We start from the raw sequence: 16,325 nt of genomic DNA on the forward strand, positions 1-16,325 counted from the left end.
TGTGAGTAGCCTGCACATAATGGCGTTCAATACTGAGAATAGCTACTCAGCTCTGAGCATCCATCCTTTTTCTCACCATTGGCATTCCTGGTGGCACAGTGGCTTCTATCACTCTCTCTGGCTTGCCTCAGCTTTGATTCTGTCCATTCAATTCTCATTTCCGCCTTGTCTGTCACAGGGTTAGGCTTATGGTAATGAAGAAATGCTCTGTCCTTAGCCAGAGATTGGTGTAAGTTAAAAGATGCTGTGAGCGGTAAAACAAACAACATTTAGGCAGATATTAGTTATTATTATTATCTTCAGAGCTCAATATATTTCTGTCTGTATTTTTAAGGTTTAGATCAGAGTTTTAAAATTAGGGCCATAACCTTTTTTGTTTTTTGAGACGGAGTTTCGCTCTTGTTGCCGAGGCTGGAGTGCAATGGTGCAATATTGGCTCACTGCAAACTCTGCCTCCCAGGTTCAAGTGATTCTCCTGCCTCAGCCTCCCGAGTAGCTGGGACTACAGGCACGTGCCACCACGCCCGGCTAATTTTTGTATTCTTTAGTGGAGATGGGGTTTTACCATGTTGGCCAGGCTGGTCTCGATGTCCTGACCGTGGGTGATCTGCCTGCATTGGCCTCCCAAAGTGCTGGGATTACAGGCATGAGCCACCATGCCCGGGCAAGGGCCAGAACCTTGAAACCACTTGCTAGGGTGTTTGTAGAATGGAGTGGAGGCTGTGGTGAAACTGTCTAAAGTGCTATGCATGTGTGCCTAGGTGCATTCATCCACCCACTCATACAAATATTTGTAAACGCTTGCTATGTTTTAAGATGTGTTTAGGGGAGTTTGTGCTGCTCATTTTTTAAAGAGCGGGAACTCTTTGGTAGTTACAATATTAAAAGGATAGACATCCACTCTGAGTAGTTCTGGATCATTTCTGGAGTTCTTTTTTCAAATATGTCTAAGTAAAACACACCATGTCAAAATACCAGGCTGAGCTGCACACTTGCAGTGAGACAGGATGGAAGACCGAGGATTCCACCAGGTCAGGACGCATCTTTGTTACCTTTGCAGAGGTTCTCTAGCACCTCTAGATCTCTGCATGATCTAGTTTGAAAACTCCTCCTCTAGACTATGACAAAGTTAAAAAAAAAAAAAAGTGATTCCCTAGGCTTTCCTGTCATAAAAATTGAGAGGCAGACGTTTTTCTTTTAAATGAGTTTTCTGTTTTAGCAAATAGAAGCTATTATTTATAGCTTAGTTAAATGTTTTAAATCGCCAAACCTCCGTACCTCTTTCCTATAGAGATTAGTTCATGGAGGGAGTTATGAAAAACATCAGTTAATGATAATGATATAGTGGACTTTCAGGAGATGAGAAACTTATTTTGAATACCCACTGCTAGGTAGAAGTTTGACCTTTGCATGTACATCCAGAAAGGATGGTGGTGTATGCCATCAGCCTTGTGGTTTATAAATATTAGTGATGTGGTCTGAATGCTTTAATAAAAACAAATGAATCAAAGGGGTAGGTCTGTCTTTATTGTTTGGGATTAAAAAAATAATAATCATACATTCATATATTCTTTTCATACTTTTAAGAAACAAAAAGGCAATTCTGCTAAATTATAATTTTATTGTACATTTAAAATGCAGATTTTAAAAACTCAAATTGTGCTTTTTAGTAACTAATAATTTAAGAACTCTTTCTGATCCTCCCCTACTTTTCCAACCTTCTTTTCTTGCCTAACGTTAGGAAAACCAAATTGAAGATGCCTGCATTTTGAACAGGTTGAACTTGTGGCCTTGGCTATAATTGTCACTTCATAATCTATTTTTGATTTTAATCTTATTATTATAACTTTCTTTTTACAGACTGGTGAATTTTCAGCTCGTTTCCTTTTGAAGCTGCCCGTAGATTTCAGCAATATCCCCACATACCTTCTCAAGGTAAAAATATATGATTTTCAGTATGAGAATATAAGTGAGCTTTTTAAGTAATTATTTAACTCAATATTTGTATGACTGGTTTGTCAGCATTTTGTTCAGATGATGAATTCTATTAAAAATATTTCTTACATGAAGTTCCATTGAGCTGTTTTGCTGCCTAAAAGCTAAAATAGTAACTGTGAAAGTCATTTAGAAGTGAGTTTTCCATATTAAAATAAAATTATTATAAGTGAATTAAACTTTGGGAAAAATCGCTTTTATTTAATAATGTTACTGGAATGAAAGACTCTCATATAAATTACCTAATATGCAATATTAGTCACCACTCCATTCTGCAAACACCCTAGCCACTGCCTTCGAGGTTCTGGCCCTTGGCCGGGCGCGGTGGCTCATGCCTGTAATCCCAGCTTTTTGGGAGGCTGAAGTGGGCAGATCACCTGAGGTCAGGAGTTTGAGACCAGCCTGGCCAACATGGTGAAACCCTGTCTCTACTAAAAAAAATAGACAAATATTAGCCGGGCATGGTGGCAGGCTCCTATAATCCCAGCTACTCGGGAGACTGAGGCAGGAGAATCGCTTGAACCTGGGTGGCAGAGGTTGCAGTGACCCAAGATCGAGCCACTGCACTCCAGCCTGGGTGATAGAGTGAGACTCCATCTCAAAAAACAAAAAACAACAGATAAAAAACAAACAAACAAAAAGATTTGGCTGGCCTCCCTCTGTGCTGTATTTGTACTTGTGGTTCTTTAATTGCAATCTAGCATAAGAAAAATTTCTATCTTCCTAATTTGATGTTGTTCAGAGAATTAATGGTATTCATAACTGCCTAGAGAAAAGACAGAATCTTTGTACAAGTTTGCTTGCATATTATACTAATCAATAAATAATATTAGATATTAATTTTTATAATGGTTATAAGTATGACTTAGTAGAATATAAACTATAAACCATAGAAAAGGTTAGGGAATTTTTTTTAATACATTCCATCTTTTTTTTTTTTGGAAACATGGTCTTGCTCTGTCACCCAAGCTGGAGTGTAGTGGTGTGACCATAGCTCACCCCAAGCTCAAGTGATCCTCCCACCTCAGCTTTCTGAGTAACTGGGACTACAGGCGTGCACCACTGTGCCAAGCTAATTTTTTGTTTTTTGTAGAGAAAGGGTCTCAGTGGTCCTCCCACCTCACCCTCCCAAAATGTTGGGATTATAGGTGTGAGCCACTGTTCCTGGTCTATACAGTCCATCTAAAGAGGAAAATTATTTTCTTTTTCGCTAAGTAAAACATAGGATTTTTGTACTTCATTAAACTTTCGTTTTTAGTTTCCAGTTGACTAGTTCTCCATTTTGTACCCAAGAGTTGTAAAGTCCAAATAAGAATGGAAATCATCAATTTCTATCAGTTTCTCTACAATCCTGTTGTGGAAAATATATATATTAGATTTGTGATAACCAAGCATAATTAATTTGATTTTGGCAATTACTATGCTCTATTAGACTAGTAAGCAGTCTTCTAAGAAACCCTTATAGCATATACTCAGGACCTCCTCCATGTATTCCAGTTAAAACTCTCTTTCAGCTCATTTAGAGGCAAGTTCAACAGCATATGAAAGTACCTGATTTATATAATCCACAATTTACAGTTACAGTGCTTTGTTTTAATTTACTGTGCCTTATCAGTTTCAGCAGTCTTCCTGTTTATTTGAAATTGATGTTGCCTCTGCTCATATTCTTGAAGGGTCAAAGGAAAAAAATGTTTGTTGGCTCATAATCTCATATTTATCTCTTCAGCATCAAATTATCATATTTTTATTTTAAGAATTCTAACTTTATATGCTGTTCTTATTTTCCTTGCCAGTCAGTTAAGAGAAAGGTGGAATCTATTTGCCAAAACAGTAATGTTGTTTAACCCCTGCATTACTGTGAAATGATGTCTCTTCTATAGATAAAATATCTACATTGCAACACTAATGTCCTTCTGGATCTTTAAAGTTCATGCAAAAAGAGTAAAACAACAATGACCAAAAAGGAGAAACTCTTGTGTAACACAAAGCAACAGCCAAAAAAACAGAAACAGAAACCTACCAGCACACCAGAAGCAATCCAGAATACTTGTTGAGGGTTTTAATATCTACATTCCTAAAGTTGTTGTAACATGTGGTTATGCTCTTCAAAGGAAGTTTGCCTTAGGAGCTGCTTTACATATTATTTGCATTTGGATGCTCCTCATCTAATTACTAGGCCTATAATTGATAGTCTAACTACAAAAATAAACTTCCTGAATTCCTAGGGTTAGGATACTCTTCACCAGCATCAATATAGTTTTACCTTATCATTTCAAACAAATAAAAGGGAAGGTAGAACTTGAAAATATTGAGTAGTATGGAGTTAGACTGCATACCCTATTGATTTGCTACAATGACATTTCATTACACTGTGATGAGGCCATCATTCACTCATAAGTTCATATTACCAGGTGTGCCTGTTTTGCCCACTAATAGAATTATTTTATGTTAAAATGAAAAAGCCATTCAATATTCAGTGATATGATTTCCCTTAATATTGTATTGTAAACATATGTGGTTCTTACAGGGGATAGAGTGAATTTATTCTGAAGATGAAGTCTGATTTCAGAGTCTGAATTTCACTTTTGGTTGAGGTTAATCAAAGGGTCAGATGAATCACTAACATAAACACGAAAAATATTTCTGTATTTATTAGGATTCTCATTTTGCAGGTGGTTGAAATCCAGCATGAGCTCATGTAGACCAGATGAGAAATTTCATACAAATCCTCTTCTTCTGTGGTCTGTATAGCAGGAAACAGTCCATACTTAGTACTCTACAGATCAGGCGTAGACCAACTGTCTTATGTCTGTTCCACTGGGCTCAGTTGTGTACCCCTGAACTTCTCAACTGGTGTGTTTATGGGGAGAAATCGTGGTCCCCAGCATAAAGAGGAGATTACAGAAATGATCAAAGTGCAAGTATTCTCTACAGTTACTGAACCAAAGAAAGATGGTTTTATAATTACATACTTTCTCTTAACGAACAGCTAGTCATTAGATGCTGCTGCTCTTAATTTTCTTAGAGTGTGGTGAAAAGTGCTGTATGTGTATTCCTGTCTTTATTTTTGTCCTGAGAATTAGTGAACTTAACAATATGATGCTAAGAAGGCTGTGTTTTTGTTTTTGCTTCTGTTTTCTGTAAAACCATACTCCATAGAAAAGTAGCTAAAGAAAAGGTTTGAATTGTCTACTAACATTTTTATTCTCTGAACAAGAAGCTTAGAAACTAAGAATACAGTATTTTGGGGGATAGGAGAGGCTTACTTGTAAATATGATGTGTGTTTGAATTGGTCACTTAAAATAGTAAGCCAGTTTTATACAGAATACAGTGAAGTTAAATCCTAGAGCTAGGAATCCCTTCAGTAGCATCATACAAAAATATGGAGGCAAATTGTTTTATCCCACTGAACTGGAGGGTTAAATAGCAACTATTTCCTGCTGATACTGGATATGGCAAATATAACCGTGCAAAGAAAATCAACATTAACTTTTTTTTGTTGGGTAAGAAAAGACCATATTGTTTATGTAGGCTAAATTGTTGGAGTATCTCTAAACTAGAAATCAGTGAGCCCTAGCCCAGGTTAGAAGTAAGGCTATAACCAATTGACTATGACTGAAGTACTTGGACTTTTATTGGCATTATTTAATATCACACACTGAGCCCATTCATCCTGATGGATTGCATGTAGAAATTTAGTTCTACTGTGGAATCTGAATCATGACACTACAGCGAAATTAATTGAGTGTGAAAAAGCTAAAATAGGTTGTTTATACAAGAGATGAAGTTCTCATCCTTCTTCTGAAGTCACTGTGGCTGTACTGATCAGTCAGGGCACAATCAGTGCAGAGCCCAGGTCACTCTGCCAAACAGAGGCAGAAAGCAGGAATTCAGTTCAGGGTGTCTAGACTTGTTCAGGAGCCTAGGATAGGCAGAGAGTTGTGAATATGTAACTATGCAATGGTCTAAGCAGATCACTAACATGGAAGAGAGCATCTAGGTGTGCTGAGATTATCTGATGCAGGAGCAGCCTCCTCAGCCTGACATTGGCCAGCCGGCTACCTACTTATAGTCAGTCTGCTTTCTAACCAAACCTAGTAGCAAATGCAGATATTCACAGAGCCAGGCAAGTACTGAAAAGGAGTGAATCTGACTTGATACAATACAATAGGAAATGGTAGGGACTGGAGTGAACTAGCATGTATGTGCTTCATCTAAAGGCAGCAGCTGCTATACAGCTACAGAGTTGTTTTCCATTTGATAATTTGGGACTGGTGTTGCCAGATATCCAGATGTTATTAAAAAGGAGCCCAGAATCTCAGGGCTTCTTGTTGATGTTGTTGTTAATATGAAAAACTACTATCTTTTAAGTAATAGCAATGATAAATATTGTTTACAAACACTGTGCAAGAACACTTCTATGTCGTAGCCATGGCCTGTGGGTTAATTTGTGACCCTTGCTCTAAAACCTAACTGTCTTGTACCAGGTGGGTGGCAGAAGGCTTTTCTTCACTTTCCTTGATTTATACTATACAGTGTGGTATTCAGGGAGATCTTACTATGACCCAGTGGGTAACAGGAGAACCTTGAACTGCAGTGCCACTCAATATCCTGAGCCGCTTATCACAACTGCAACAGAGTGGCCAGAATGAGTTTGGCTTGGTTTTTGAGTGCGGTACTGTGCAGAACACCTAAGTACTGATTTTGCCATAAAATGATACTGGGATTAGACAAACAACAAAAGAAATTCAAGCATAATCATTGTCCTCAGAGACCTTATAATATAATTGATAAGTTAACATTTACTGATAAATAGTTAAGTGTTAACTTGTACGCTACCTGCCCAGTAAGCTTTTAAAAAGAATAAAATTGTTATGGATTGGAATGATTAGGTCATAAAATCTTTATGACCAAGTTTGGGCATTAGCTAGACCTCTAAGTGGCATAGCTTTTCAAGGCTGGAGGGGAGGAGGAACAGATCAGGGATGGATGATCATGCAGTCAGTGGTGGGACTGTGTGGACATACTTGATTTGGGAAGTAGGTAGTAATCTAGGTTGCAAGAGAAATTTCCTGCAAGAGACTACTGAGAGATAAAACCAGGAAAAAAAGTTGGAAAGATACTGAATGCTGGGAGATTGATTTTAGACTTCATTTAGCAGGTAGTCTTAATCCCCTTATAACTGGGTTATCATGGTAAGAGCTATTTCCTTGGCCCCATTCTCTTCAGTTCCCAATCTTCCTGCAGTGTTACTGTTAGTCTCCTGTAACGTTTCTCAAAATGAGTAGTACTTACTTGTTGGATGCTGCTTCTAGAGCCCATTCTCCCATGCAGTGCTGTTTTACACAGCTTCCCAAAATGTGCGTTTAATCTCAGAAAGGCAACTATCCGCAGTGTCCTGCCAGTGCTGTGAGAATTCCCAGTGCTGTCATTTTGCTCATGCTCTTCTTTCTGGCTCTGAAATTCCTACTCTTTCATCTTTTTCTGGATAATTCACTTAATTGACATAAAAATAAGGAGAAGTCCAAAGAAATTCAATTACTTGCCCAAGACTGTGTTTATTTGGAGGTATTGACAGAATATCTTATTTTGATTATTGGCAGCTAGAATGAGAGAGGTGCTAAAAGGTCAAGGTGGAAAAGAAGCAGGATAATGAAACCAAAGTGAACCTTTTGAAGGAGGAAATTTTGCACACAACTGTGGAGAAACCTGAATTTGGAGAATCCAATGGAAGAGAATTGTCGTATATGTAGAAGGACAACAGGAGCTCAGAGTCATAAAGGTCAAGGTGTGTTTTTTTTTTTTGAGACAGAGTTTTGCTCTTGTCGCCCAGGCTGGAGTGTAGTGGCTCCATCTCGGCTCACTGCAACCTCCACCTCCCAGGTTCAAGCAATTCCTTTGCCTCAGCCTTCCGACTAGCTGGGATTACAGGCTCCTGCCACCAGGCCTGGCTAATTTTTTGTGTTTTTAATAGAGAGGGGATTTTGCCACATTGAGCAGGCTGGTCTTGAACTTCTGACCTCAGGTGATCCACCCACCTTGGCCTCCCAAGGTTCTGGGATTACAGGCATGAGCCACCATGCCTGGCCAAGTCAGGGTTTTAAAATGTTCATGATGAAGGAAATACTCAAATGCCATTGAAAGAATTAGAACCAAGAAAAAAAGCATTTGAATTTGTGAGGATGATAGGGATGGTGAGAGTAGAGAGAACACTTTAAGTAGGATGACCAGAATAGAGGCCAGATTGTTGGTGTTCATGAGGATATGAATGATTAGAAAATGTACTCAGTGGGTATCTGACAAAATGAATTTTGGAAATGGGATGGAAACTTGAAGAACTGAAATGATCAAGTGAAACTATTAAGAAGAAACAACTGAAATGATAGCATACTAGCCAAAATAATCATAGAGAAGGTTTTTTTTTTGCTTTTTTTTTTTTTTCCAATAGACAGAGTCTTGCTCTGTCACCCAGGCTGGAGCGTAGTGGCACGATCTTGGCTCACTGCCACCTCCGCCTCTGGGATTCAGGCAATTCTCATACCTCAGCTTCCCCAGTAGCTGGGATTACAGGCATGTGCCACCATGCCTGGCTAATTTTTGTATTTTTAGTAGAGATGGGGTTTCGTCATGTTGGCCAGGCTGGTCTCGAACTCCTGACCTCAAATGATCTGCCTGCCTGGGTCTCCCAAAGTGCTGAGATTATAGGTGTGAGCCACCACACCCGGCCGTAATCATAGAGAAGGTTTCTTAAGAAGTTGTTTTAATTCGTGATATGCTTAAATATGATCATTATATCAATGTTCTCTCCTGGAAAAGTTTAAAGGAAATTTTGCCTGGAAAAGCCCATTTCAAGTGGTGCTGTCATTCTTTTATATTGTTAGGAGAAATAGGTAATGGCATGAGTGTTAAAAAACAAAGTGTGTGTATGACAGTCACATTTTGTGACTTGCCATTAAAGATTGAATAAGTTGGCAGAGTTTTGAAATTTCTCATTCTTCTCATCTGCCCTTAGGAACAGGGGAGGATTTTGCATTCCCTGCACCCAGAAGAACATTAGACTGATTAACGTTACTGGAATTTTTTTGTGGATGAATTCTTGCATTGTCTTTTACTATTTGGAAATGCTTGAAGCCCATTTAGCATTACATGTTTGCTAGAAAGGAAACTGGTAATTTCCCCCCAGATATTCACTTTATTTAAAATCCAGCAAGCTTGTTAGGGTGGTATGTATTGATTATAATTCTTTTTCAGCACATGTAAGATAGAAACATTGAAAAGCCTTTGATTCTGATAAGAATATATAAATTCAAAGGCTGACCTTACAAGTTTTTCTCTAAACCACAGATTAAATAACTCCTCTGAATTTGAGACTTTTAAGTTCAGGGAATTTTTTTGAAATCAGTAAAGTCACACTTAATAGTCAGCTTTTAGAGAGAAAGACTGCTTTAACACACTCTTGTAAAATCTAGCTTTAAAGCAAAATAGTCGTCTGGTACTTGAAGGACCATAAAGAATTCACACAGAACCGTCATCTTCTTATCTTAAAGGAAATAATTTCTGTCTAATCAAATAGGAGTGGGCATACTTTTCTAAAAGTAGGAAGGAGTACTGGGAAGATAGTGCCATAAAAGTAGGGTGCTGTTTACTCCTGTAATAAGACGATTTATCCTTGCTAAATTTGAGCCAAAATTTGCATTTGAGACTTAATCACAAAGAAAGCAGTGAGATGGTCTGAACACTTACACTGCAGGGAATCTGTCTCTTTCTTTATTAAGCAGTGGACCCATGGCTGCGCTCAGTACCTCGTCCTTGTTCCACCTCCCTTCTCTAGAGAGCAGACAGGACTTAGGGAAAAATACACTCTAGTTCAGGGTCCAGCAGGCTCCTCTAAAGGGCAAGATAGTAAAATTTTAGACTTGTGTGCCATATGGTCTCTGTCACAACTACTCAACTCTGCTTTCATAGCATGAAAGCAGCTACAGACAATATGTAAATGAATGAGTGTGGCTGAGTTCCAATAAAACTTTATTTTCATGTTTGAGATGATGGATATGCTAATTACCCTGATCTGATCACTATACATTATGTGTATAGAAACATCACTATGTTTTTCATGAATATGTACAGTTATTATTTGTCAATTAAAAAATATGAATTTCTAAAAACAAAAACAAAACAACGTTTATTTTTAAAGTAAAAGATAAACCGTTTTTTTAAATCCAGCCCAGGCATTGGGCTGGATTTGGCCCATAGGCAGTAGTTTGTGGATCCCTTTTCTAGATGATGGAGGGGAGTGTTTCTTCACAAAGACACCTGGTGCATCATAAATAGATACGTAAAGGGATTTGGCTCAGTGAGTGTCCGTGGTTTTTATACCATGGTCTCTGTTTATGTTTGATTAGTACCTTCAACTCTGTTGAAGTCTCCCTTCTTCTCTTTCTCCCCCTACCCTTTTTTTAACCTTCCTTCTTTTATTCCATCTTCTCTCTTATTTTAAATCATCTGTTAGTAACATAAAATTTACTGAATTATCTTCCAAGTCTTAGTTTCCCAAACTGTTAAAATGACGTTAGCTATTATTATGATCTGAAATTTTATACCCACCTTCCCCCAAATTTATATGTTGAAATCCTAATCCCCAAGGTGATGGTATTAGGAGTTAGGACCTTTGGAGGTGATTCAGTTATGAGGGTGGAGCCCTGGTGAATGGGATTAATACCCTTATGAAAGAAGCCCTAGAGGGCTAACAGGCCTGAGGACACAGTGAGAAGGCACCATCTGTGAACTAGGAAACAGGCCCTCACCAGACACCACAGTTGCTGCTACCTTGATCATGGACATTCTAGCTTCCAGTACTGTAAGAAACAACTCTCTGTTTTTTACACAGTTTATAGTATTTTGTTAGCTACGCAGTTTATAGTGTTTTGTTATGGGAATTGGAACTGACTAAGATAGCTATGCTTACCACACAGGATTGTTGGGACTATTAATGAGATAATAAATATGATGGTACTTAATACACTTCTGAGCTTGGTGCAGGTGCAGAATAGAAATGGTTTTGATTTCATTAAGTCATTTAATTTGTATTTCAAAGTATTGAATTTACTGTGGAACTAAGCACTATTCACAATAGCAAAAACATGGAATCAACTTAAATGCCCATCAGTGGTAGACTGGATGAAAAAAATGTGGTACATATGCACAAGTGAATACTGTACAGCCATTAAAACAATGAGATCATGTCTTTTGCAACAACAGCGATGGAGCTGGAGGTCATTATCCTAAGGAAACTAACACAGGAACAGAATACCAAATACTGCATGTTCTTACTCATAAGTGGGAGCTGAACTTTGAGTATATGTGGATACAAAAAAGGGAGAAATAGCCACCAAGGCCTACCCTAGGGTGGAGGGTGAGAGGAGGGTGAGGATCAAAAAACTACCTGTCAAGTACTATGGTTATTACCTGGGTAACAAAATAATCTGTATACCAAACCCTGTGGCATGCAATACACCTGTATAACAAACCTGCACATGTACCCCTGAACCTAAAATAAAAGTTAAAAAAAAGAAAAAATTTCATTGAAATTATGACAGAGTTATGTTTACTACTTAATTTTTCCTCTCTTCTGATTTCCCTTATGTAGAATTCAAAACTTAAATTTTTACTTGCCTTAAGTTTCCAAATATGATTTATGGTAATTCTGACAATGGTATATATATTTTCTTAGTAAAAATGAAGAAGTCACAGGTAGTTTCTTGGAAAAAAGAAGTTACAGGTAGTTTCTTGGAATGTAGATTGGGGTAACCCATTATGGAAAACACAATGGAGGTTTCTAAAGAAATTAAAAATAGAACTACCAGTAATGCCTCTTCTGGGCATATAACCAAAGGAAATGAAATCACCACCTCATAAAGATCTCTGCACAGCCATGTTCATTGCAGCTTTAGTCACAAGAGCCAACATATGGAAACAACCTAATTGTTCAACAGTGGTTGAATGGATAAGGAAACTGTGGTACATATGCATTTTGAAATATTATTCAGTCCTAAAAAAGAATGAGATCTTGCCATTTGCCACAACATGGGTGAGCCTGGAGGATATGATGCTAAGTGGAATAAGCCAGACACAGAAAGAAAAGTATTGCATGATCTCGCTTGTATGTAGAATCTTAAAAAAAATTTCAAATATATGTGGAGAACAATACAGAGGTTACCATGGGTTGGGGGTGGTGGTGAGTGGTGAATGGGGGGATGTAGGATACATCTTCTGTGTACATCAGAGGGTACGAAGAGCACCTGTGTAGGATGAACAAGTCTAGCACTCTAATGTGCAACAGGACTACAGGTTATAGAATTGTACCATATATGGAATTCATGCTAAATGAGTAGATTTCAGCTGCTCTGGCCATAAAAACAACCACCAAAAAATGGGTAACTATGTGAGATGATGGATGTATTAATTTCCTTCACTGTAGTAACCTTTTTATTGTCTGTATATATCCCATAACATCAGATTGTATGCCTTAAATATACACAATAAAATTTATTTTTTAAAAAAGAGAGCCTTCCTCTTTTGGCTTTCTTTTGTTGTTTTACAGTTTATTTAAAATTTTTTTTTATGATGTGCTTCTTTCTTTTTTTCAAAATTTCTATTTTAGAATGTAGGTGTATCTCAAATGATTATCAGTTGACCTGCTTTGCTACCCTGTCCCCATTTATAGTGATTGTCATTTAAGTACAGTCTATTCTTCTACAGGACATGCTTTAGTAACATGAATTAGTTCGTTCACAATTGGCAAATAGTAGAAGCCTGTCAGTATAATACAAAAGCAGCTATGGCTTACAGTTGACTTTTTCTCTAGCACATTAATTATTTTGACCACTAAATACAGCAACTAAATGCAAAGTACACTAATACATATGAACATAGCAAGCTTTGGAGGCATACTGTATTATTTATTGTGTCACTTATTATTGGGAATATAGCATCTTAAATACATTAATATTTTACTGAAATTACTTTGGTTTTTGTCAGTGCTGTGCTTACAAAGTTGTGCAGGCCTTAAGTGGTCTATATTTTCCTCATAAGTCTCTTATTTTTAGTATGTAATTTACTAGAATGCAATTTTTTAAGGAATGCGTATATCATATTATAGCAGCAACACTTGTATTTTAAAACTTATAGGCTAGGCATTCTTAGTCCTTTGCACTTTCCAAATATGTCGCAGGTTTTTAAGTCCTTCTCCATCTTCATACTTCTCTTTAGGGAGTGTTCCAGATTGCCAGCATCTCTCTTAAACTGTGGTGCCCAAAAATAAGCACAAAACTCCAGGGAGGGTTGATCAGGTCAGTGTTTATTAAGACTCTAAGCATCAACATTAATTCGTACTTCTTGAGTTTGTAGAAGACCATACTTCCTTGTCTTACTAATCCAGCTTTAAGCAGTTGGTTTTCCTAAGCCAATGTGTAGACTTAATCCCTTCATATCAGCTTTTTGGATTTGCCCTATTTTCTTCAGTCCGTTTATGAGGGAAGCCTTGCAACCTATGATCCAGAAAGGGAAGTGGGGATTGGAACCATATAGCACAGTGAGACTAACAGGAATTATGGGATGTGATCACTACAGGTGACCATTTTTTTTTTTTAATCTGGAACTACTTTCCTCTATGGTAGAGTTTTCTTCACCCACATCTTAAAGGTGCCACCTGGCACCTGACAGGTTGTGCCGGTTTGTTTCTGTCATCTGTTCTCATTACTCCATTTTCATCAATCAGCAGACCTACAACTCAAATAAAGGTAAAAGCTGATTAATGGTGTAAGGTGACTACACAGATAATAGTGTAATGCATGTTAGGATAATACTTAATTATTAAGAAAAGTACAAAATTTAGTAGGTTGGTGAGAGAGGATTACACCTGGCTGGGAAAAAAACCTTTATAAAGGAGGTGACATTTGGAACGGCCTTGAAAGACTTGGTTTTGATAAAGAGAAGCTAGACAGGCCAGGCACGGTGGCTCACGCCTGTAATTCCAGCACTTTGGGAGGCCGAGGCGGGAGGATCACAAGGTCAAGAGATCGAGACCATCCTGGCTAACACAGTGAAACCCCGTCTCTACTGAAAATGCAAAAAAATTAACCGGGCATGGTGGCGGGCACCTGGAGTCCCAGCTACTTGGGAGGCTGAGGCAGGAGAATGGCGTGAACCTGGGAGGCGGAGCTTGCAGTAAGCCAAGATCACGCTACTGCATTCCAGCCTGGGTGACAGAGTGAGACTGTCTCAAAAAAAAAAAAGAAGCTAGACAGAAAGAACAAGCATTTTTTTAGGTGGCAACAGTAGCACAGTTGGAAAACAGTTGAACAGTCCAGTTTGGCTAAAACGTAGAACTTGTGTACAAAGTAGTGGGAGATAAGAAAGGAAGGGCATTTTAAAGACATAGTGTTACAGCCTTAAATACTTAACTCAAATTTTAATCATTATTTTTGAGCAGGGTAGTATTACAATTGGGATTGTATTTAGGAATAGAAATCAGCCAGAAACATAATATAAAATGATGGAGAGGAGGAAGGAGGAAATGAGGCTGGACCCTGGATGCAGACCTGTTATCATAGTCAGGGCTCAAGGTGATAGAAAACTTAATATCAAGGCTTCAGGTGATGCATGTTTTAGATTTGCTGAAGTGTATATAAAATATATATATATATGTATATATATAAACATTGTATAATTTTATATACCAGCTGGGGTGCATGGTCACTTAACTCAGTGATTAACCTGGGAAAGTAGGGGAGAGGAAAGGTGCCAGAACCTTCTAGCCGGTGCTACCCAAAGTGCATCAGTTTTGGTTCTTGATGAAACAAACACAGCATTGAGAGCGTTTAGAAACATTAAAAGCAGCTGACAGAATAATCATATATCTGTTGAATCTAATGATAGAAATGTTGGGTTTGTATTTTGTATGTGTTTTAAAAGATTTCTTTTTCTAGTAATTCACTTTGAATGTATTTTACAAATCCATCAGTTGGTGATGGATTAGAGAGAAACAAACAACAACGGCTCCTTCACTGTGGATGGTTTGAGAAGCATTATTCGAGCCCGCCCTGTGCCTTCTGTGGCTGCTGGTTACCGTTGCCTCCCTTATCCTGAGATACAGCAGTCTGAGGTGTCTCTGAGGTTTTTTGGTTTTATTCTTTTTGCTTAGCTGAGTTTTACAATCATTGTCACCCAGCACGCCCCTCCTTTTTATTTTTATTTATAAATACATTTCCAGAATTTGGCATAGGAGAAGCCCTTGACTTGATTGACATTTAATACAGAACTAGAAGAGAGGGATTTTTTATTTTATAAAATATTTTGAAACATATTTTAACAGTACACACATACCTTGATCTAGTTTAATGACAAAATAATGTCACAAAGGGATCTACCCTCTTTCCTTCATTTTTCTGAAGATCCATTTTCTTCCTTGTATCTGTTGCAGATTTGTTTTCATATTATGATCATATTATATAGTTGGGATGTGTGAATCCCAGAAATAAAGTTGGTGTTTCTCCTTGTTCCAGGATTGCTCATAAGCAGTTTGACTCTCTTGAAGCAGGATGGGATATGATTTAGATTTGTCAACTTTGTGTTAACCCTAGAAAGTCATGTGAGTACTTCATGAAAATACTCTTTAGCAGAAGATCCTGGAATACTGATAGTGTTGGCATTCTTAGTCTCTTTTCCATAGACCAGCAACTCACAAGTATGGTCCAAGGACTGCTGGTATTTCCAGGACTCTTTCAGAGAGTACATGAGGTAAAAACTATTTTCAAAATAAAATTAAGAATTTCCATACCTCATGAGTGAATAGTGGAGTATTCCAGAGGCTACATGGTGTCATCACTCTGATAGCCAAGGCCATATTTGCTTGTGTGTTCTTGCATTTTAGAAATTTTCTCGGATTTTACCAAAGTTTATTCAAGAAGAAGTAGATAATTTGGATAGCCTTGTGTCTATTATAGTTAAATATGTTCCCACCATGAAAACTTTAGGCACAGATGACCTCCCTGGTAAATTCCACCAATCATTTAAGGAAGAAATAGTATAGAAAATCTTTGGGAAAATTGAAAAAGGGGAAATGATTTCTAACTTGTTCTGTGAGGACAGCACTACTTGATGACAAAAATCAGGCAAAGATATTACAAGAAAAGAAAACTCCAGATGCATCTGTCTCATAAACACAGGTGCAATATTTGAAATAAAATTTTAACAAACTCAAAAGAATGATACATAAAAAGGATGATACATTATGAATAAGTGGAGTTTATCCCAGGGATGTAAGGTAGGC

At 37.7% G+C, this 16,325-nt stretch overlaps 1 protein-coding gene across 14 annotated transcripts in view; it reads left to right on the top strand.

Moving 5' to 3' along the window:
• Positions 1 to 16,325, top strand: part of BABAM2 (BRISC and BRCA1 A complex member 2) — a 450,193-nt gene that overhangs the window by 155,156 nt on the left and 278,712 nt on the right. For all 14 annotated transcript variants that reach the window (NR_137438.2, NR_137440.2, NR_137439.2 and 11 more), the window contains one exon: positions 1,861 to 1,935. Coding sequence is in view for 10 of the 14 variants with exons in the window: in NM_001329112.1 (NP_001316041.1) it covers positions 1,861 to 1,935 (75 nt within the window). In the remaining 4 variants the exon portion in view is untranslated. The remainder of the gene's footprint in view (positions 1 to 1,860; positions 1,936 to 16,325) is intronic.

This window comes from Homo sapiens, chromosome 2, assembly GCF_000001405.40.
Source record: "Homo sapiens chromosome 2, GRCh38.p14 Primary Assembly".
Taxonomy (NCBI): domain Eukaryota; kingdom Metazoa; phylum Chordata; class Mammalia; order Primates; family Hominidae; genus Homo; species Homo sapiens.